Source organism: Homo sapiens, chromosome 2, assembly GCF_000001405.40.
Source record: "Homo sapiens chromosome 2, GRCh38.p14 Primary Assembly".
In the NCBI taxonomy this organism is placed as follows: Eukaryota; Metazoa; Chordata; class Mammalia; order Primates; family Hominidae; genus Homo; species Homo sapiens.
In genome coordinates, this window is record NC_000002.12 from 43,063,787 (window position 1) to 43,086,211 (window position 22,425).

The 22,425-nt window shown below is 53.1% G+C and overlaps 1 protein-coding gene and 1 long non-coding RNA gene across 3 annotated transcripts in view, besides 3 other annotated features; one reads left to right on the plus strand and one right to left on the minus strand.

Annotated features, from left to right (window-relative positions):
* Window positions 1–258: 258 nt before the first annotated feature.
* Window positions 259–22,425, minus strand: part of LOC107985876 (uncharacterized) — a 38,401-nt gene continuing 16,234 nt past the window's right edge. The window contains exons 1-2 of one of the 2 annotated variants that reach the window (XM_017005460.2): window positions 3,455–5,869; window positions 259–2,763 (exon numbers count right to left, since the gene is read on the minus strand). In XM_017005460.2, the coding sequence (XP_016860949.1) occupies window positions 3,947–4,867 (921 nt within the window). In that variant the 5' untranslated portion in view covers window positions 4,868–5,869 and the 3' untranslated portion in view covers window positions 259–2,763; window positions 3,455–3,946. Of the gene's footprint in view, window positions 8,775–22,425 lie in introns of those variants that run through there. The other variant, XM_047446566.1, reaches the window with a different exon arrangement.
* LOC124907756 (uncharacterized) lies at window positions 9,843–20,314 on the plus strand. Its single transcript, XR_007086299.1, has 2 exons — window positions 9,843–10,067; window positions 15,406–20,314. It is a non-coding gene; the product is annotated as an uncharacterized LOC124907756 (long non-coding RNA).
* Window positions 16,677–17,379: an enhancer, noted in NCBI's record as "H3K4me1 hESC enhancer chr2:43307601-43308303 (GRCh37/hg19 assembly coordinates)". NCBI's record gives its function as "activates a minimal SCP1, AML or CMV promoter by ChIP-STARR-seq in primed H9 embryonic stem cells {active_cell/tissue: H9 hESC(primed)}" and the evidence as "EXISTENCE:reporter gene assay evidence [ECO:0000049][PMID:30033119]".
* Window positions 19,622–20,388: an enhancer, noted in NCBI's record as "H3K27ac-H3K4me1 hESC enhancer chr2:43310546-43311312 (GRCh37/hg19 assembly coordinates)". NCBI's record gives its function as "activates a minimal SCP1, AML or CMV promoter by ChIP-STARR-seq in naive H9 embryonic stem cells {active_cell/tissue: H9 hESC(naive)}" and the evidence as "EXISTENCE:reporter gene assay evidence [ECO:0000049][PMID:30033119]".
* Window positions 20,389–21,155: an enhancer, noted in NCBI's record as "H3K27ac-H3K4me1 hESC enhancer chr2:43311313-43312079 (GRCh37/hg19 assembly coordinates)". NCBI's record gives its function as "activates a minimal SCP1, AML or CMV promoter by ChIP-STARR-seq in naive H9 embryonic stem cells {active_cell/tissue: H9 hESC(naive)}" and the evidence as "EXISTENCE:reporter gene assay evidence [ECO:0000049][PMID:30033119]".

A 22,425-nucleotide genomic window follows, 5' to 3' on the forward strand; every position in this document is an offset into this window, starting at 1 on the left:
CTCGCGGTTAGGAGCTGGAGACCAGCCTAGCCAACACAGCGAAACCCCGTCTCCACCAAAAAAATACGAAAACCAGTCAGGCGTGGCGGCGCGCGCCTGCAATCGCAGGCACTCAGCAGGCTGAGGCAGGAGAATCAGGCAGGGAGGTTGCAGTGAGCCGAGATGGCAGCAGTACAGTCCAGCTTTGGCTCGGCATCAGAGGGAGACCGTGGAAAGAGGGAGAGGGAGACCGTAGGGAGAGGGAGAGGGGGAGGGGGAGGGGGAGGGAGAGGGAGAGGTACCTTTTTTTTTTTGAGACGGAGTTCCGCTCTTGTTGCCCTGGATGGAGTGCAATCTAAACTTGATTTCATACTAATATTACAACTCTAATAAATTATCACAAGGATCATTCTAGCCTTCTCCCCTTGCCTGTCTGTAACCTTCCACTCCCACAGTGAGAAACCTGTCTGTTACCATCCACTATCCATTGACTTACTCATTCAGTTCCAATACACATGTATAGTGGTACTGGAATTGTTAACCACACTCCATGAGAAGCTACTTTATCAACTAGAGTATAGTGCTTAGGCACAGTTTCTTTAGTCTTTAGTCTTATAGACTCCACTCATTTCCAAAGTTGCTTAGATCAAAAACTCCCACCCCTCCCCCACTTCAGTGAAGTTGTTTTACATGTTTTTAATCCAGTTAAATAGTTTTGTCACATTTTGCATTCCATCTTCGTATCCTCTGATCTCCTAAATGATTCTTTTATTTTGTGTAAAAATGTACTCTTTGTGCTATACATTTCTACAGGTCTTGACAAGTACATAGTGTCAGGTATCTACCTGCAATATCATACAGAATAATTTCACCCACCTAAGAAAACCCCTGTGCTTCACCTATTCAACCATACCCCAACCCTCAAGAACCCTTCCATTTTAAGCATATTTAAAAGGTTTTTCAAAGCCTATTTGATGCACATTATCTCATTTAATTTACAAAGCAACCCTGTGTGTTAGGAAGAGCAGAAAACATCATTCCCACTCTATAGAGAAGGAGACTGAGGCTTAGAAGTATTAACAGGCCTGCCTTTGGCCACATGGTTAGTATGTGCAGACTTTAGACTGGCCCTGCTGCTTTATTCCTGCTCTGCTCAGGCCAGGAGTGGTTCCCGAACCCAAGACATAGAGAGAAGGGGGGATTGGGTTTGCAATCAGGCAGATAACAAGGCCGTAATGAAAACAAGCCTTGGGCTGACAGAGGGACATCTGAACTCTAGTTCTGGTTCTGCCACCCATTCACTGGGCAGCCTTGAATAAGTCACTTTCCTTGGCTGGGCCTCAGTTTTCTCCTATATAAAGTGAGAGATGAGATGACCCTCGAGGTCCCATCCAAGTCTCGCAGGCTATGTCTGGCCTTTGGCATGAAGATGACTACAGTCAACAGCGAGGCTTGACAGGCAGGCAGGGGAGATGGCTGGAGCAGTAAGGTTCAAGTCCACCACAGAGGAGCAGGCCCACATAGGCCAGTGATGAGTGGCACTGGGGTCACCATTGGTGTGCCTAGGGTGGCAGCTCCCAAGGCTACTCCAGGCCCCACTTCCAGCAAGCTCTCTAGGTGATGAAACCACAAATGCTTTTATATCCCCTTCCATGGTTTATGACAGTGTTTCTGAAACTGTAGTTCAAGACCCAGTGCATTATGATCTGTGATTTTTTAAAAAATAGAAAGAAACAGAACAGGATAGACTAGATCAATGCATTCAACAGAATATAACAGATAAGTATAAACTTTTGTTTCGATTATATGTGTGAGTAATAGGTCAAAATTTTACATGTATTGGTCAAACAAGATGTGATCACTGGCTGACAGAATACATTTTACATCTCAGTCTCATCTATCCTTACTGTAACCCTGTGAAGAGGGACGATTATTAGTACCATTCCTATTCTCCAAGTATGGAAAGTGAGGCCCAGAGAGGGCAAATGGTGCGCTTATGGCCCCCAGTTAGTGAGGGGCAGGGCCATGAGGAACACACCGTCTCCCGGACCTAGCTGGGGATTTCTTCCTTTAGCCCCACACAGAATTGTGGCACTTGTCTGCTTCTCAAAGTCCCAAGGGGAAAAGGTCCAGGTGTGAAGGTGTCTGGGCCCATAAACCTGGCCAGCCCCACCTTGGCTTGGCAGGATGAGGGGTCACATAAGCTCAGTGGTAGTTCAGCCAGGACCAGGTTCTGCCAGGTAGGGCACTGAGGGCAGGGGAGCCAGCTGGCGGGAGAGGTTGAGGAAGGTCACACGGGCCTGCTCCATCCTCCCATATGCCACACACAAACCACGTATACCCAACACACTCGTGATGGCGCCCGCTGGCTGGCTCTCAAACTCCCTCAGTGCCCTAAATCTCAGCCCCAGCACCTCTGGGTCTTACGGTGTTTCCTTTAGTCCCGCCTCGGCTACGCCCCAGGTTCTCTTGCTTTGTCCAAAGCCAACATGACCCCACCAGAGTGTTTTTGTTTGTGGTTTTTTTTTTGCCCTTTTCTGTCTTTCTTGCCCCCCTGATTTGGACACCCACAACACCACTGGGTTGTTTTGTGATTTATGAGCTCAGAAAACTCACTAATCCTTCTCCCTCAATTACCTTGATGTAAAGAAGTCCTCACTTTCTCTGCAGACAGGAGGGCTGTACTTCTCCCTGGGACACAGACCACCAGGCCCTGGTCAGGACCCCTCCCATGTGGCTGTGTGGTTTATTTGTGGCTCAAAGGTCATCATTGTCAGAAAACCCCTGACAGTGATGAGAAAAAGGGAAGCAAAATGAGGGACAGGAGGAGTTTTCCTGCAGCACAAGTCTTTCAGCCAACCTCTTCCCGGCCATTGCCCCTCAGTGAGCTGGGGGCCACCACCGGGCCTCAGTGGGTCTCGGCGTCTCCCAGCGACTGGGACCTGAGGACAGAAGGAAGAGCCACCTGGCAGCTTTGGTGGGAACTTGCCTGCAGACCCAGCCACTGCCCTGGAGGGAGGACACCCTGACATTACTCAGGTCTTGCTCCAGTGTCACCAACCCAGATAGGCCACCTCTGACCCCGTTCCAGCTCCTGACACCTCCTTTTTTTTTTTTTTTTTCTTTTTTGAGACAGAGTCTCGCTCTATTGCCCAGGCTGGAGTGCGGTGGCATGATCTTGGCTCACTGCAACCTCCGCTTCCCAGGTTCAAGCCATCCTCCTGCCTCAGCCTCCCAAGTAGCTGGGATTACAAGCGTGCAACACCACGCCCAGCTAATTTTTGCATTTTTAGTAGAGATGGGGTTTCACCATGTTGGCCAGGCTGGTCTCAAACTCCTGACCTCAGGTGATCCACCTGCCTCGGCCTCCCAAACTGCTGGGATTACAGGCGTGAGCCACCACGCCGGCCGACCTCCACCCGGTTTTGCGTTTTTTCTTAGCCGTTCCCACCGTCTGTCAATCTCCTTCTCTTACCTTTCACCCATGTGCCTTCCCTGCTAGAATGCAGCACAACGATCTTCATTTTGTTCATGGCTTTCTCCTTGCTGCTTAGAACAATCTCTGGCACATAGTAAACATTCTGTAAATACTTGCTGAGCGAATGAGTGAATGAATGAATGAATTTCTTGGGCCCTAAAATGAATGAATGAATGAATTTCTTCTGCCAAAAAGACCCATTCTGTGGCCTGTCCAGCACCCTTTAGACACATATTCACAGTGAATTCTAGAAAAGCAGTTGTCTGGACTCTATGGTGGCTGGTCTGGAACTAGTCAAGCACAAACCAGACTCTCTCCTTGGCTGTCCCCAAGGCTGAGATTACTTCAGAGTGGCTCCCGTTTCTGACCTGGCCACAGCACACCAGCAGGAGCTGCTGCAGGAGCCCTCCCCGCCCCCTCCCCCAACACCTGGGCCAGCACCGGACATCTTGAGGCACTTCTCTGTTTTGGAGCTTTCCCCAAAACCATTTAGGAGGCATGGCCCGGCCCCAGAGCTTCCTTGGTTTCCTTAGAAGGGGCCAGGACCCTGGGGTCCCCAGCGGGGAGAGAACGGAGGCCCGAGGCTGCTGGGCTGGGGAAGCTGATGCTCAGCTTAAGCTGGGACCCCACGTGGAGCCAGTGAGGGGCAGGCTGAACCCCCGCCATGGGAGAGGCCCAGGGGACAGAGACACAGAGGCAGAAGGCCTCGGGGCAGAGGGGCAGAGAGAATGGGACAGACAGATAACAGAACGCCGGGGAGAGACAGAGATAAAAACACAGAGAGGGAGAAAGATGGGGAGACACAGAGAGGGAGACCAAAAGAGAAACAGCCGGCGGGTGGAAGGCCCGGAGACCGACAGACAGAGGTAGAGGACAAGGGAACGGCAGAAGACGCAGCGAAGGGTGGCCACGGCAGCAGCACGGCGCAGGGCGCAGCTGAATCGCCGCTCTGTTCCCGGCGCGCACTGAGGGGCTTTCTTCGCGGCCGTGGGAAAGTGGTGGGCGAGCGCGCGCCCCGGTCGCCGTGTGGACCGTAATTAGCCGGATTAGGGCGGGAGCTGCGCGGGCCGGGCAGGCCTGGCCAGAGAACAAAAGGCCCCTCTTTGTCCGCGCAAACGGCGGGGTCGCGAGGTCACCGGGCAGGGTCCCCCAGGAGCGGGCGAGGGGACGCGCGCCTGGAGAATGGGGCCTCTGTGCACCTGGAGGGGGCCGGCGGGGGCCGCCCGTGGGCCTGGGACTCCAGGGAGGCCGCAGCCCCGCTTCAGGGTGCAGACTTAGGGCCTCTGGCGGAGAGCAGGGAGGGAGAAGAGGAACAGAAGCCGAGAATGGAGGCCAGAGAAGGAGAGACACCAAAGGGGCAGGAAGCTGGCCCGTTCTTACTAGTAATGGTACCTGTGACATGGACAACATTTATTGAGCGCTTGCTGTGTACCGGCTCCACGCCCAGCCTGGGAGACATACATCATCTCATGTAATCCTCATAACTACCTCCTAAATCAGATACTGTCATATCCGAGTTTATCCGAGTTTTACAGATAAGAGAGCTGAGGTGCAAGGATTGTGGTTTGCCTGAGGTCACACAGTCAGAAGGGGTGCCTCACGTCTTTGCTGGCACACAGTAAGCACCCAACAATTATGTGATGAATGAATGACAAGGTTGGCAGTGTCTGGAAAAGGCAGAGACACAAAGAGCCCTGGCCTCACCCCCTGGCCACCCACAGCCTGGGGATGTTTGGGAATTGGGAGCTCCCAGCCTTCAGGGAAACTGCCTGGGAGATCTGCAGAGGCGGGTGTCAGTGCTGACACCTCACCCACTTGGGGCAGTGTAGGGGATGCCAGTCACTAGGGTCAGGGGCTCAAGGGATGGGACATGTTTCTTTCCAGCAGCCCCAACAGAACTGTAGCTCCCTCAGGGCTCTCTGCCTGCAGCCCCAGGTCCCTCCAAAGCCCAGGGCAATGTGAAGGGCTGACGGTGCCCCATGGGAGTGGGAAGAGGAGGCACTGGGGCCTTCCCCCGCCACCCAGCTCTCACCAGCCATGCCTGAGGGTCAGAAAGGCTCTGACTTTCAAAGAGCATTCTCTGGGCTGTGGGGGTCATGCCCCAGCTGACCAAACGTCTCTCCTCACGGGAGATGTCGTCAGAGACCACACACTCCAGCCCACAACCACCGGCAGGTGATGGGCATGGGAGAAGTGGACAGGTGTGCCTTGCGTGGGGCATTAGGGGCCGTGGGGCCTGTGGCAAAGCCTGCTGTCGACAGGACAGTCACTGCACACTGTGGCCTGTGAGTGCCATATGGGCCGAGATGGTCAGGCCTGAGCTTTTCAAGAGAAATACGAATTCCAGGCTGGGCACGGTGAATCACCCTTCTAATCCCAGCACTTTGGGAGGCCAAGGTGGGTGGATTACCTGAGGTCAGGAGTGCAAGACCAACCTGGCCAACAAGGTGAAACCCCATCTCTACTAAAAATACAAAAATTAGCCGGGCATGGTGGTGTGTATCTGTAGTCCCAGCTACTCGGGAGGCTGAGGCAGGAGAATTGCTTGAACCCGGGAGGTGGAGGTTGCAAGAGCCAAGATTGCGCCACTGCACTCCAGCCTGGGTGACAGAGTCAGACTCCGTCAAAAATAAAGAAAAGAAATCCATCCTTTTGGGTGGGATTTCCAAGTTGTAAAGTCTGATGTGGGCCAGGCTAACTTAGGTACGGGCCAGCTTCAGCAGCAGGTTGGCAGCTCACAACCTTCTTCCTGATGCTCTGAGCCTCCAGAAGAAGGAATGCCCTGTTCCCTCCCCTCAAACCCTCTTCTCCCAGCTTCTCCAGGGCCAGTGAATGAAAGGAGCAGGTAGGAGTGCTTGGGGGTGCCCAGTCCCTGCCCACATACCTGTGCCCTGCCTCAGGGCTGTCCCCTGTTGGAGACACTGCACCTGCCCTGGGAGCCTCAGCCCAAAGAGGCTCAGGCAGGAAGTCTCCAGGCCACTGGGATCTGGGTGACCAGGCACATGGCCAAGAGCTGGAGATCGTCACACCCAGCTCAGCTGGGGGAAGCCCAGTGACCCATTCAATGAAGGTTTCCTCTGGGGACACAGCACTGGAGTTTGCAAGCTGCAGGCCCAGGAGGAGGAAAGGCCTGCTTCCGCCCAGCTCCGTCCCACCCCACCTCCACCCAGCCCCACCAGCCTTTCCTCATACGTGGGGTTAACACTACCCCACTTCTTGGCCGAAGAAACTGAGGCACAGAGGGCTGGTGTATTTGAAGGGAGTGGAGAGTGAGCATCCGAGGGAGTAGCTTCAAGGGGCTCCAATGGTGTGATTTGTTGGAAAAGTGGTGTTTTCTTAAAAATTGATATGTGTTTTGCATCTTCCTTCATAATATACACATGGCTACTTCAATATAAAAATGATGGTGCTTTTCTTCCTACAGTCTGGCAAACCTGATGCTCTCCAGGATGAGCCATGCTTGTCCTGCAGCATCTGGAACCTCTGGCACAACCCTGTGTACCCATACAGTCCACATCCACAAGAGAGAGAAGCCCGGGTGGGGGCCTGTCCCCTAGAGTCAGCTCATGACAAAGTGGACCTGAACCCAGGCCCCGCGCTTTCTTGGGGGGCATAATATGTATGAAGAGGGTTCTGTTACTGCTCGTGCCTCTCCTTAGGTGCCCCATTTCCACCTCATGGAAAACCAGAGGTGGGGGGAGGCTGCTCCTCCTTCCACAGGGCAGACACAGCTGTGGCTCAAAGCCGAGCCCCCGAGGGGCGATTGTCCGGCTCCAGATCTGGACATGGGCAAAGACTGACACAGCTTTTGTTTTCTCCTCCTTCTGCAACCTTCACTTCCTCTCCTTTTTCTGATGGAAACTTCTATCATAGCAGCGGCTTCTTCCAGCTCCTGAGAGGGGCAGGCGTGGGCAGCAAAGGGCTCCCAGCCCCAAGCATAGCCTGGGGTGTGACGAGGGCCTCAGGCGCCAGGCTAATGGCTAAGAGGTGGCAGTGAAAATCCAGGGGTCAGGCCTCTCTCTCCCATGGCCCCTGAAAGAGCAGGAGTCAGGGAGCAGAGGCCAAAGGGGTGGACAGCTAGAGAAAGGGAGGGGCGAGCTGCAGGACAGCTGCCCTTGGAGGGCAGGAGGCAGCTCCACTCAGCTTGAACTCAGAGGAGGAGCTTTAGAACCAGGGCAGAGGGAGGAACATAAATCTCTGGACCTCAGCAGCCCAGCGGAGCGAGTTGGGGTTGCTGGGTGGTTCTTGCACCTCTTCTGCAAAGCCTCCCCACTTTTCCCTTCTAATGGCTGATGGTAATTTCAGAGACAAACAGCCCAGGATCGCTGATGGCATGGTAAATGCTTGCTTCCCGTCCCAACTCCCACCCTCTCAGGGTGGGGGACAGGTTTAGGGGGAAGTGTTATTCAAAAGAAAACCCAGGTTCTGGTGAGAATGCCTCCATTTCCAAGAAATGTGGGAAACATTTGGAGTTGTTTCAGTCCCCGATCAAATTTCTGTGCTCAGCATTCCCAGCCAGGCCCAGAACATTTTTGTTAGAGTCCCCTCTTCCCCTCTTTCCCCACTTTGCACACAGCCAGCTGCGCGGCTCAAGTTCCAGCCTGGGATGTGCAAGGCGGCGGCTCAGCCCTTTCTGCCAGTGGGAAAGGAGGAGTTTCATTCCAAGGCTTACGGCCAGTTACATTGACCACTTATTCCAAACTCCAGCCTTAAGGAAAACCAAATTCCCACGAGTCTCGCCTCTCCCCAACTCTCCACCCCTTGCCTACTCCTTGCCTACCTCCACCCTATCTTCTGGGTCACAGGTATATACATACATAGGTCTCCTGGCCTAGAGATTGCCAAACTGCAGCATAGTCACCAAGGAGGCCTGAGTCTCAGGAAGGGGCACGGAGAGAAACCTGCTCTACCTATCTGTGAACTTGATACCACAGTTCTGGACATGCACTGAGAAAAGATGGGTTTGTCCATCCAAAATGCAGTAAGCCATGAAGGAGTTCAGCATCTGATCCAGGTAGCCTCCGTGTCCGGCTGATGGGCTGAGGGAGGACACTAGAATGGCCAGGCTCCCGTGGCTGGATTCCAGCAAGCCTTTCATAGCGTCCTCTGCCATGCAGGCCTGGAGGGTGAAGCAGTTCAGGTTGCAGGCTTTGTGACTCCTCAGGCGCTGGGCCTTGAGGCCTGCCTGTGGTGGTGTGGCGAGAGCTTCTTACACAGCTTTGGTCCTGGCCCCTTCGACATGTTTATCAGGAACTTGGGTGGATATGTGGCTGGTAGAATTTGCAGACCATCCAAGCTGAGAAGAGTGGGAAATGCACTGAATAATAAAATTGGGATCCAAAAAGATTTGGTCAGGCTGGGTGGATAGGCCACATTTAAAGAGATGAGTCTGAAGGGGATTCAGTGTAAGGATCTGCTTGTGGAATCCAAGAAATCCACAGCATCAGCACAGGTTAAAAGAAAAAAAAAATGAAAGATTTTAGATATTCAGATGAGTGCCATTTAACTGTGAAATGTGTCCGCGCTAAACAGTGGTGTGATCTTCAGGTGCATTAAGGGAAGTCCTGTTTCGTGCCCATTTCTTGTGAGTCCTCTGACAACGCACGTCAACAACCTTTGGGGCTTGTTAAAAATTCAGACTTCTGGGCTGGGCGCGGTGGCTCACGCCTGTAATCCCAGCACTTTGGGAGGCCGAGGCGGGCGGATCACGAGGTCAGGAGATCGAGACCATCCCGGCTAAAACGGTGAAACCCCGTCTCTACTAAAAATACAAAAAATTAGCCGGGCGTAGTGGCGGGCGCCTGTAGTCCCAGCTACTCGGGAGGCTGAGGCAGGAGAATGGCGTGAACCCGGGAGGCGGAGCTTGCAGTGAGCCGAGATCCCGCCGCTGCACTCCAGCCTGGGCGACAGAGCGAGACTCCGTCTCAAAAAAAAAAAAAAAAAAAAAAAAAATTCAGACTTCTGTGCCCATCCCAGATTATTTAACTGAACTGTATAGGGATGGGGCCCCAGAATATGCATTTACAGCAACCTCCCAGGTGATTTTTGACAACACTTGCAGCTCTTTCTGTCATGCTGGACCCTCTTGCCAGGATTATCCTCCCTCTTGGCAAAGTAAGAGGGTGCCTGCCCAAAAAAGCTTCTCTCTCTGTTAAAAATTCCACTGGTGAAGCTTTGCTCCTTGGGTTAGGAGCTTGCCCCTAGAAGTGGTCTTGTCAGCAAAGATGTTAGAGGATAAAGACAGCTGGCTGATGGCCAAATTGTGTCTGGGGCCCCTGGGTGGAGACACAGGCTGAACTTCCCAGACAAGAAAAAGGCTTAATCATATTGCCCAAGGGCCATGATCTAGCTCAGCCTGAAGCCAGGGAGAGGCTGAGAAATAAGCCATTTGTTCTTTGCTGGCGTGGGAAGAGCTCGGGTTTTGGAGAAGCAGCGTGGACATTGGACTGTGACCCTGAACGTTGCCTTCAACTTCTCTGAGGCTCAGCCTCCTCCTCTGAGATACGTTCCTCACGCAGCTGTTGTGAGTAGATGAAATAATGTATGTAAAGCTCCACAAGGCTTCGGCATACAGGAGAGGCTCAATGCTGCTTGTTGAATGCATGAACAGGTAAGTACATAGTGAAATGGACAGATGGAAGAATGGACAGATGGATGGATGGACAGACAACCTCTGTGGACTCCTCTTCCTTACTTGCAGAAAATCAGCCTGTGCCTCTGAATTGATTATCCCCACAATCCTCCACCCCAGCCCCCCAGTGTAGTACCCTGACATCTCACAGATGTCTCGCTTTGGGGTCCAAGTCGTGCCTCCTAGGAAAAGCCCCTCTCCTTTCCCCATCCCTCTCCCCTTAGTGCCCTTTTCCAAGCCCCTATCTAACTCCAGGGCACTCCTGTCTGGCATTAGGTCTCAAATTCAGAGCAGGGGCATATCTCAAGGCACAACCTTGACTGGTTCCCCCCAGGTCCACCTACAGTTGCTACTGACTCCAGCTCCGTTCACCTTTCTGACCAGCTTGCAGGAGCAGCCCCATCTTCAGGCTGGCTAGGACTTGTGGAGGAAAATCAGCTGAGGGAGGCACAGATCCTGCCCTCTTGGAACTTGGAGTCCAGGAGGAAAAGGAGGACACTGTTAAAAGGCGGTCACCACTGAATGTGAGAAAGCATTCCTAGCTGGCAGAATTAGGGAAGACTGCATGAAGGGGGCCACATTTGGATCTTCAAGACCTGATCCATTTGGGCATGCAGAGTTGGGGAAAAGCATTCCAAGAAGGAATAGCCTAAGCAAAGGCAGAGAGGGCCAAGTAGAAGATGGTTGTGTCTGGCAGGAGCATGGGTGAGGGGAGGTGGACCAGGAGAGCCCAGATCCATTTGGGAAAACCATTGTCCAAGACCATGAATGCCGAACTGAGGCATTAACTTGACTCCTTGAATGTCAATCCAAGCAGAAGCAGGGGCTGTAGTCTGCCTGTGGCCTCTATCCCTCTCCCCTAGGGGATCTAGTCACAACCTCTCTCTGTACCCTGCTACTGTTCTCCCAGCAGGCATCCCTGAGCTCTGGCCTGGGTGCCCAGGGAAAGGGTCATTCACTGAGCCTTCCATGATTCATGGCAGCTCAGTGGGCCATCTTTTCTGGGGCCATCTGCATTTACAAAGCAGCACAGACTCTGTCCATCACTGGTTCCAAGGAGTGAATGGAGGAAGTTCAGGCCTTACACAGGCTGTTGGGGGTATAAGGCCCGAACTTACTCCTGAGTGTTGTCTGCTGATACCTGTGTAAGGGTGAGGGGCTACTCAGCCCCAGACACATGCTGTCAGTCCTTTGGTTGTAGGCCACCCTCTCTTCCTCCTCTACTCCCTACAGCCTGCAAGTGGCAGGTCTGGCCTCTGCACTTTCCCCAGCTAATCCAAGCCACACAGAGTGCAGCCAGCCCGCCAGCGAGTCTTGTTTCACTGGAATGTTGGCATCAAACTTGAGATCGGAAATGAACTCATTATCTGATTATTTTTATTTATGAAAATATAACTGCTCTGGGAGAGGCCTTTCTAAGTGGATGAGTAATTCTCTCCCCTTCACACACACATGCTCAGACTCATATGTTTAGACACACACATACTCAGAAACTCAGATATTCAGACCTCTCTTCAGACACACACACAGGCAGCCACATGTTCCTTTATGTACACACGCATCACATGGAGATGTGTGCTCTGGGTCTAATAACACCTTTGAGGACAGGGACCTTGCCTCTTTTATTTACTGTGGAATCTCCCATGGCACATAATAGGCAACAGTAAATATTTGCAGAATGATTGAATGAATGAATGAATGTCTAAGTCATAGATGCATGCACCCACACACACATTATTACTCAGACATACACACTTACATGCATACATATATATCTGGGCTCTCTCCCTCTCTGGAATAAAGTCAGTGAATCGCTAATTCTGCAGCCTGAAGTCTTCACACCATGAACTGCATCATGAAGGTACCATCCAGGACCTTCCAGTGGAGATGCCCGTTGGCAGTTCCCAGGAGGCCAAAGCAGCATTCCCCCTGACCCACTAAGGCCTCACCAGATGCTCACAGCCATCCCAGGCCTTGCCAACCTGAGACCAAATGTGTTGGTATGGCCAAGAAAGCCTGAGAGGGTTACTAAAGGCAAATTGTTTTCCAGGAATGTTCTCTGTGTGCTGCCCCCACTCATCCATGGCTGGCTCACTGGAAGGTCCTGGCATGGGGTCTTGGATGATACCAGCCCCCAGGCTCTGTCTCTCTCTCTCTCTCCTCCAGCTCACAGCCATGACTCAGGCTATTCAAGGCCTGCAAATGTCTCCCTGGGAGGGGACTGGGCCAGAGGCATGGCTGGTGGCCAGGCAGGGGTGAAGATCCCAAGAAAGAACTGCCTGGAGGCTGATCTCAGGGCAGAGCACCCAGCAGGTCCATAATGCTGAGCCCTGACTATCTCTACATTCCTCCCCACAGAGAGGGCAGTCTTTGTGTGGTCAGAAGAACTCTGGGCTAGAGGAAGACTCACCTGAGTTGACATCCCTGCTGGCCACATACTGGCCATGTGGCTTTGGACAGGTCACTAACCTGGAGCTTCAGTTGCCTCCAGCACCTTGTGCAATTGCATCCTTCCTGCCTTGCTGCCCCAGGCCCCATGCTTTCCTGACCTTCCTACCAGGCCTTGAAGAAGAGCCCGCAACTCCCTCCGTAGCATTTCAGGCCTCTTCAAGTGGCTCTTTATGTTTCTTTCTTTGTCTGTTTTGAGACAGGGTCTCACTCTGTCACTCACGCTTGAGTGCAATGGTGTGAACATGGCTTACTGCAGCCTCCACCTCCGGGCTTAAGCGATCCTCCCACTTCAGCCTCCTGAGTGGCTGGGACTAAGGCATATGCCACCACACCCTGCTAATTTTTGTATTTTTTGTAGAGATGGGGTTTCACCATGTTGCCCAAACTGGTCTTGAACTCTTGGAGTCAAGCAATCTGCCTGCCTTGGCCTCTCAGAGTGCTGGGATTATAGGTGTGAGCCACCATGCCCGGTCTCAAGTGGCTCTTTAAAGGCATGAGCCCTCTAGGATGGGTCTTTCCATTCCTTATAGCCAACAGTATGAAAGAGCACCTGACCTTCCCAAGAAGCTGCACCTGGAACGGGGAGGGCACTGGGAGGTGGGGACAACTATTTCATTAACACTATTATGTCCCAAAGCCTGGCCAGTGAGAAGGACGGACTTGACCTCTTAAAACTCCAAGTCTCCTGGCCAGGCGTGGTAGCTCACGCCTGTAATCCCAGCACTTTGGGAGGCCAAGGTGGGCAGATCACCTGAGGTCAGGAGTTTGAGACCAGCCTGGCCAACATGGTGAAACCCCGCCTCTACTAAAAATACAAAAATTAGCCAGGCATGGTGCTGCATGCCTGTAGTCCCAGCTACTCAGGAGGCTGAGGCAGGAGAATGGTTTGAACCCTGGAGGCAGAAGTTGCAGTTAACTGAGATCACGCCATTGCACTCCAGCCTGGGAGGCAGAGAGACTCTGTCTCAAAATAAATTTTTAAGTTAAAAAAACCTCAAGCCTCCCAGGAATTCCACTCCTACTTGTCCACCCAAGAGAAATGAATGCATGTGTGCATGACTAGGTATGCACATGAATGCTTTATTCATAGTACCTCAAACTAGAACACCCAAATATCCATCAGCAGGGGAGCTAAACAAATCGTGGCATACTCATATAATGGAACACTACACAGTGATTAGAACACAACAACAAAAAGCATCTGCTACACACAACTGCATGGGTGAATCTCCCACGCATTATATTGAGTAAAATAAGCTGGACATAGACAGACTGTTTGATACCATTTGTATGAAGGTCAAGAACAGGTTAAATGAATCTAGGATGTCAGAAGTCAGACTAGCAGTCACCACTAGGGATGGTATTGACTGGAGAGGGGCACAAGGGAACCAGCTTTGGAGCTAGAAGTGTTTCAAATCTTGATCTGGTGTTTCCATGGGTCTAGACACACATGTGGCTATCCATCGAGCTGTACACTTCTGCTTTGTTAATGCTATTGTATGTAAGTTACCATGAGGAGGGACCAAGTCACAAAGGATCTAATCCATGCAGAAAGGCAGAAAGGAGGATAGCTAAAAGGAACTTGCAGGGTTTGGGGCAGGAGGGCCAGGGAACAAGAATAGAGTGGAGCTAATAGTGGAAGAGAAAGCTTAGAGCATTCTCCCCAGAGACACTGAGCACCCACCTAAGGAGGGGCTGTTGGGAAGGATGAGGCAGGGACTAGACCTCCAGCAGACTCCATACATTGCCAGATCAGGTCAGGCTGCCCATCAGTGGGTTTCCTACACAGAGCTGGTGCCTCGAGACTGGAACCCAAGGTGGAAGCAGATCTCAGTTGTGTACTATCTACCCCTCATTCCTTCTTCCCTGCCCACAGCTGTAGGACCAAGAAGAGGCTGAGCCCCAAGTCCCTTTTAACTCTAGTTAACAGGCAAACTCAATCTGCCCAAATGTGCTTAAATAAAAAGTGTAAAGGAGAGGGCCTTGCTTTATCCCCAACTAGACTCCTGGATAGAGACTCTCGTAAGAGAATATTCTGGAAACCTGCAGGCTGGCTCACTACTCTCTGAGCCTCTTGACGATGGTCTGTGGGCCCATGGGTGCAAGAACGCATGTCCAGGTGTGTGTCTGCCTGTGAGTACTGTGTTTTCCTATAATGGGGTCCTCAGAGTTATGGCCACATCCCCCAGCCCCTCCTCACTCTGCTCTTTTGCCTCTATTTAGAACCCCTGCCCCTCCTCCCTGGATACCCCTGGTCTTCCAACTGCCCCTGACCCTCCTGCCTCGGCAGTGGAGTCTGATGACCTTTTCCCAATGATGTGGAGAGGCCAAGCCCCCATCCATCTCCGGACTTTTTTAAAGGAAACCAGGGAAGGCAAAATGTAACCTTAAGTCTTGCTTTCAAGCACCATGTCGGCAACTCAGAATTTCACCATGCTGTGGGTCTTGCAGGCTGACTGTGAGCACCTGGTGGCATTCTGAGGGCATTCTTAAGGGCACAGCACCCACTCCCAGCCCTGAAGCTCCTAAGGAGGGGCAGTCCCAGCATCTCTATGAGGGACCAGATGAGGCCAGTGAGGAGAAGCTGCCAAGCCACAGGCAGCTCTGGCCACATGGACCACATCTGCCTCTCTGGAATGACGGAGGGCACTGGGGCTCCCTTCCCCAGGCCTAGCCTTGTCCCTCTCTCCTCCCCTGGGCGGCCTCTGCTCCAGCCAGGCCCATTTCCTTACATGCCCTCAACAAGCCATTGTCAGACCTTCCCCATCGGTCCCCACCCAGCAGCAGACGTGCATTGCACATTCACTGCGGTGCCATGTGAATCAGGTTCCCATGAATAGGTGCCCTCACTGCACTCGCTCCACAGGTGAGGAAACCTTGGTGGAGAAATCGAGCAGCTTCCCTGAAGTCACACCACTGACAATCAATGGAGTCAGCATTCAAAAGACCCAGCTGATCAAACGGGATGCAATCAAGAAGCCAGCCAAAACCTGAGAGTGGGACTCCAGAGCCGGCCTCACCAACCCCTGATGGTCTGTTAACTCCTGCCCTGGAGCCGAGCATGTCCTTTGGTGGGAAACTATGGAGTGTGGTGGCCAAAGGCACTGGCCAAAGAGCCTAGCTGCCTGGGTTCCTCTTCCAGTTCCTCTTCCTGTGTGGATGCTTGAGTGCGTTACCCAGCCTTCTGTGCCTCAGTTCCCTCCTCTGTATCACATGAAGGTGCATGGATGGGACTAGGTGGGACAGGCACTCCCACCCACTCAGAGCTCCCAAGTCCAACTACCTCACGGAAGGCCGCCTTTGTCCTTGGCCCCACACTGGGTCCAGTCTGTCGCAGTGGAGTGCAGGCCTGTGGTACAATGCAAGGCGACCACATGTAGTTCCTGCACCAGAGAGAGCCATGGGATGGGGGGCTGAGTTAAAAACTCATAGACCCCTCATCAACACAGTGGCCAGCACATGTGCAGCCCTGTGCCAGGGACCCTGGAGCTTACCACCCATGCTCCTCCAGCCCATCTGGAGCTCCTGCCCCCAACCCCAGCACCCTATTTATCTATAGCTACTGCACCCTGGAATGCACCCTAATACATTTTCCTGGATCTCACCTGTGAATTTCCCCAGTTAGGCTGTGAGTACCCTAAAAGCAAGGACTCTAGTTTCCTCATCCTCCATCTTTGATAAAGGCTGGTCTGGCCGGGCATGGTGGCTCACGCCTGTAATCCCAGCACTTTGGGGGCCGAGGCAGGCAGATCACGAGGTCAGGAGATCGAGACCATCCTGGCCAACACGGTGAAACCCCGTCTCTACCAAAAAAAAAAATACAAAAAATTAGCCGGGCCTGGTGGCAGGAGCCTGTAGTCCCAGCTACTCAGGAGGCTGAGGCAGGAAATGGCGTGAACCTAGGAGGCGGAGCTTGCAGTGAGCTGAGATTGTGCCACTGCACTCCAGCCTGGGTGACACAGCGAGACTCCATCTCAACAACAACAACAACAAAAAAGGCTGCTCCAGACATCAGGCCCTCAAAACACACTTGAAATGGATGGAATTGGGTTTGGGGGCTTAGCTACTATAACTTTGGAGTGGTACGTTAAATATTCATTCTTACTAGAGGTGGAAAAAGGAACAGTATGGAGGGACTGGATGTGGACTTGGATGCAAATGTATGCAAACCACTGTGCAATGATATGCAGATGTGCATCCTGGATCTGTGGGAAGGAGTTCTATGACTTCAGAACCCTGGTTCTGGCGGGCTTTGCTCTCTGAGGGGCTCTGCCCCTGCTGGGGATCTTGCCATCTCGCATGGCAATGCTGACAGCTGGCTGCCGTGCGGCATTCTGGCGCCAGTGGAAACCATTTGGGGATCCATGTCATCTTCTGATCCTCGGTGAAGCAGCTCCCACCCACCAGGGCAGATGAGCCAACAGGAGGCTATAAAGACAGAGGCCTGCATGAGGAAAGGCTGGCGTGTAGCCAGAGCTGGAGGCTCCTGGGTTCCAGGGACACAGCTCTGGGGGAGCACGGAGCGTGGGACCAGGGAGGAAAGATCACACTTGGTCTCATTTCCAGCTCTCTGCTGTGGCCACCACTGGGGAGCCCATGGCTGCCTGACACTCCTCACCACCACTCCCAGCCCTAGGCCGTGCTGCCCACCAGCCGTCAGCCAGTGCCCTGCATGGCAGGCAGGCCATGGTATCTGGGAGAGCTAAGGGCTTCCTAGCACTGTAGCCACCATGTATGGGGCACCCTCTCTGGCCAGGCACCGTGACCAAGCACTTTAACCATATTATATCACTTAATCTTTGACAGCCCCACCAGGTAGGCAGTACTCTTACGATCCTTATTTTATGGATGAAGAAACAGAGGCCAGGGTCATCCAACCTGCAAATGGTTGAGCCGGGATTCAAACCCAAAACTGTTAGACTCCAAAAGTGGCCCTCTCAACTGCCACTTCCTGCCTCCTCTCCCACACCACAATGGCCACTGTGTACCCGGTTCCCATGAGGGACATTTGGGGAGGGGGACAAGTCCAGGGTTGAGAGGGGGAAAGTTCCAGTGTAGTGCTTGGGGTTCCCCGCCCCATGCAAGGTAAGGTAAGCTGGCAGCCACCTAATTGAAACACACACCCCCACCACACCCCCGCCACACCCCCCTGCCTCACCTAGAATGTCCCCCACTCAACTACTGCAGCACCTGGAGTCCTGCCATTAGAACCTCATGCTTGTTTTAGAGAATGCTTTTTCTGTGGGACAAGAGCTGTTGTCTTTAGTCTCCTATTTTAAAAGACAAATCCTCTTGGAAGGCAGGAGAGGCTGAGGTCAGCAGGGAGGTCCTAGAGAAATGTATGCAAAAGCCAGGAGGGCCCAGAAGGCAAATTCTGTGATCAAATTCAGTGATGTTATGGCCCTGGGATGAGGATGACAGTGAGGGTGACCCTTGGCACCCTACCTAGGGCACCTGGTACTCTTTCCCACCAGTTGCACATCATATTCCACACCCAGCAGACCCTCAATCAATGGCATTCTAATTAGTCATAGCAGGAGGGTAACCCTAAGAGATGTAGCAGAACTGCAATTTTCACCCCACTTTAGAGTCCAGGAAACTGAGGCCTAGAGAGGCTGTGAGTAGCTCCAACTTGACAGTGGGTCAGAGAAGAACCAGATCAGTACTCAGGAGTCCAGAGTTGGTGGTTGGAGGGGGTGGCGTGCAATGAGAGGCTGGTGGGTGGGGTCATGCATGGCAATGCAACCCTGGAGGCCCCATCTCCTTCAGAGAAGTCAAGGTGGTGAGGTCAAGGGGAAGGGGAAGGAGGACAGGAGCAGAGAGGTGATGTGAGGGAAGCAGGGTGGGCTGGCAGGGGCCGAGAACCCCAGTGCCTGGGAATCTTCAGGGGCTCTGCGAGGCGGCCCAAGGCCGGGGTTCCCACAGCGGCAGGTGGTCACCAAGCGGGCCAGGCCGGACAGGGCTGGCACCGACTCTAGCAGGGGTGGAGGTGCCAGCTCTCACCCGCCAGCCGGCCTGCCAGCTGGGGAAGCTTCATTAGAATTCCTCAGCCCTCCAACCCATTTCCTTCCTGGTGAACAGGACAGCTAATGGCCCCAGTTGCCTGCTGCCAGGGTGAGGTGGGTCGGGCTGGCAGCTTCAGGCCAGGCTGGGGGTAGCGGTGACCTCTAACAACCCAGGAAGCATGCCTCTCCCCTGCCCTGGGGGAGGGAGCAGCCCACAGTGTGACCCGAAATTTCCCCAAGTTAAAGACCATCTGCCTGTCTGTCTATCCATCCCCCCAGGGCCCAGGGGGCTGGTGAGTGTGGACAGACAGACACAGGCTGTGGGAAGCTGCAGTGATTAATGAGTGATGAAAACCAGACTTCGTCAGGATGGGGGTGGGGACATAGAAGCAGAGAGAGGTTGTCTGTTTTATGCTTGGCTCAGCTCTAAGCCCACAGCTCAGGGGAGGAGGGTGGAGGCAGCTGAGGGCAGTACTGGGCCCTGGCCTCAAAATCCCAGTCCGAGCATAGGGCCCCAGTTCATAGACACCCCCCTCATCCCCCAGTACCTCCTTCAGCCTCTGCCCTGGAAGGTTTCCCTAAGAGGAACTAGCTTTACTCCCAAATCCCAGGGACTTGCACTGGCCCTCAAATACCATCCATCCCAGAACACCCCAGAAGCCATGGGGAACAGCAGGGAAAACAGCCTCACCAACCCTCCAATCTTCTTGTCATGGGGCCAACGATTCTGGGGCCCAGAGCCTGAAGGTCCTCTCACCCTTCACCCCGACAAACACATGACCACTCCCACATTCCCAAACTCTGCCCCCAGGACCTGCTGAAGTCAAGCAGATTTTTCTCAAATGTCAAGGACAGCAAAAGCTACTTCTAAGAGGATTCAGCTCAAACCTCCAAACCTGCAAATAGACAGTCAGGATAAACCCAAGCAGGAGAGAGGCTTGCACAACCACTGCTTTTGGTCCCCACCCGACAGACACCTTGAGGGACCTTGGCAACATCCTCCTCCCCTGCCCGAAAATATTCCCACACTGGCCCATCTGCTCCAGGGCCTTGGATTCCACCATTCAACCCTGACCTCCCTTTGCAATACTGAACTCGAAGACTCTTGCCGAGGTTTCAAGTGTGTCCCCGCTCCCAGGGCCTGGGATCTGGCCAGGGAGGGCTGGAAAGAAGGAAATGCGCCACAGATGGAGGAAGTAGCTTCGGCAAGGTGAAGCACAAAGGCAAACTTTGCTGACAGAAGACTCTTGCTGCTGGCCAACCAGGCCTGCCTGTCATGAGAATCAAAATTGTTTTCTTTTGTCGAAAAAATATTTCCAAGGTAGTTCTTGTGTTGTGCTCAGGCACGTGGGTAAGGAAGCAATAGTGAGTGCTTCCTTCTTGCCTGCCAGGGACCTTGTGCATATCTGTTGGCTCATTGCATCTTAGAAACTCCTGAAGAAACTGAGGCTTGGGGAGGTTGCCTGCCCCCACGCACCCCTCAGGGACTAAGTGACAGAGCTGAGATCCCCAGTCGGCCAGACACAAAGCCCTCCTACTTTCTGAAGCCCCACCCTGCTGGGGAGGGAGAACTGGACGCCATCTGGGAAGAATTAAGGAGGTTTTTAGAAAAGGCCTCTGCAGGAATGAGAAAACCTTCATTAGGGCTTTTTAATCAATAAAGCAGGAACAAAACCTCCCTCCCTGCAAACATTTCTGGACTCCTAGGAGATGCCCAACTGTGCCCAACAAATGATTCAGAAAACGAGTATAAAATTCAAAAAATCCCCATCCCGACAAGTCAGAGAATGCTTTTTACTGGATGTTGGGGAGGGGAAGCCGAACCTCATGGCTCCTTGGATCTCAGTTCCTGTCTCTTGCCTTAACAGAGCCCAGACTTGTCATCTGAGAGGAAGGGGGAGGCTGAGGTCACTGCCCTTCTCTGGTTTCTGCCAAGAGCTCTGCTCTTCTCCAGGGAGGTGGCGGGGCTGGGATGGCTTTGTACCCTGCAGGCTCCAGCAGGATTGCATCTGCTGAGGTGCATCTTAGAAAGGGGAGTGTGAGATGCAGGTCCCCCACCTCTGGTGCTCCTGGCCAAGGCTGAGTGCCTGTGGTTCCTTTGTGGCCGTTCAGGTGGGAAAAGCGTTTGTGATACCAAAAAATCAGCTAGGCTCAGCCCTGAGCCGCAGCTGGGCACCTGCAAACCGAGGGCCTCACTTAGCCTGTCCCATCTGCAGAGGGAGTCGTCAGATGCTTCCCAAAGACCTTCTCAGGGTTAAATGAGAAAGTGGAGTATATTCGTTTTCTATTGCTGCATCACAAATTATTACAAAGCAGCTTAAACACTACCCATTTCTTATTTCACACTTCAGGTCAGAAGTCCAGGTGGGCTCAGCTATAGTCTCTGCTTAGGGTCTCACAAGCTGAAAATCAAAGTGTGAGCTGGCTGGCTCCTATCAGAAGCTCTTTTCCAGAAGCTCTGGGAAAGCATCTCCTTGCAAGCTCATTCGGGTTGTGGCGGAATTCCACTCCTGCAGTTGCAGGACTGAGGTGGCGGTCAGCCAGGGATCTCTATCAGCTCCTCGAAGCTGCTCTCTCTCGAGTCCTTTCCACATGGTCCCCTCCTTCTTCAAGTCATCAAAGATGTATCGAACCCTCCCTCACACTTCACATCTGTGACTTCCTCTCCTGCCCCCAGCCAGAGAAAACCCTCTGCTTCTAAAGGGCTCGTGTGATTCGATTAGGCCCCTACCAACTCATCTTTCTTTTCTTGGACTCAGAGTCAACTGATTTCTATCCTTAATGATGTCTTTGAAATCCCTTTGCCATATAATTTCACATGATCATGGGCTTGATGTCTTATCATGTTCAGGGGTTCGGATGGAAATATTGGGGGCCATATTTAGAATTCTGCCTACACGGGAAGCAAAAGTGCTTTGTCACCTCTAAAGTGCCAGACTTAGGCTCTCATTAGAGCCTAATGAGGGTCTAACCCTTAGGGAGGGTTTCCTTCCCTCTGCCCCAGGAGCGCAAAGGAAAGGGTGACACTGGATTAGGGGTGGCTGCCTGTGGCCCCTGCCCCTTCCCCTCCTCCTCCTCCTCCTCCTCTTGAGCCTACCTCTGGGCTTTTCATGACTTGGAGAGGGAGCCCTGTCTCAGGACCCCAGGACTTAATCTGTCCGTCACCTTCCCCTTCCAGATCTTCAGCCACTCCACACCCCCTGCAAGTTCCTTCCTGGGCTCTGCCCTTCCTTCATACTCTCTGGGTACCACTCCTTCCCGGGATCTACGACGGCGGTCTACACTCGCCTGCTCCCATCTCTGTCCACTGGAGCCTGGCGCCTACCAGCCCCCACTGCCTGAATCTGTTCTCCCTCCCTTATCCCAGTGGACACCTTCCAGGCCATCTCTGCCAGGCCTTCCTGTGATGGCAACCATAGAGTCTGTCTTGTACCTGCGGTATTATTCCCAACACCCACCCGGGTGCCAGGAGCATAGCAGACACTCTAGCAAACATTCGTCATTGTTTGTCTGCATCCACGTATCTATGTGGTCCACGTGCTAATGTGCTCCCCTGCCTGCCCCAAACCTGAGGATACGTCTCCTGCTGCCGCCTCAGCAAGTGACACCCATGTCACCCTCTCCCTCAGCCCGAGGGCAGTGACCACAGTGAGAGGAAGCATGAGTGTGGGTCCATCAGGATAAAAGGCCAGCACTGAGTCTGTTTCACGCCCCCTGCCCCCACCCCACCACACACGTGCACACACCACAGGCTCTGCGTTCTCCTTGGCCTAACGCTGGGGAGGGCAAGAGCCACCACCCACCAGCTTTCTACCCTTCACTATACCTGGGCCTCAACTCAGCTGGCCTCTCTAGGAGTTACTTGTGCTGGCCTTAATCTT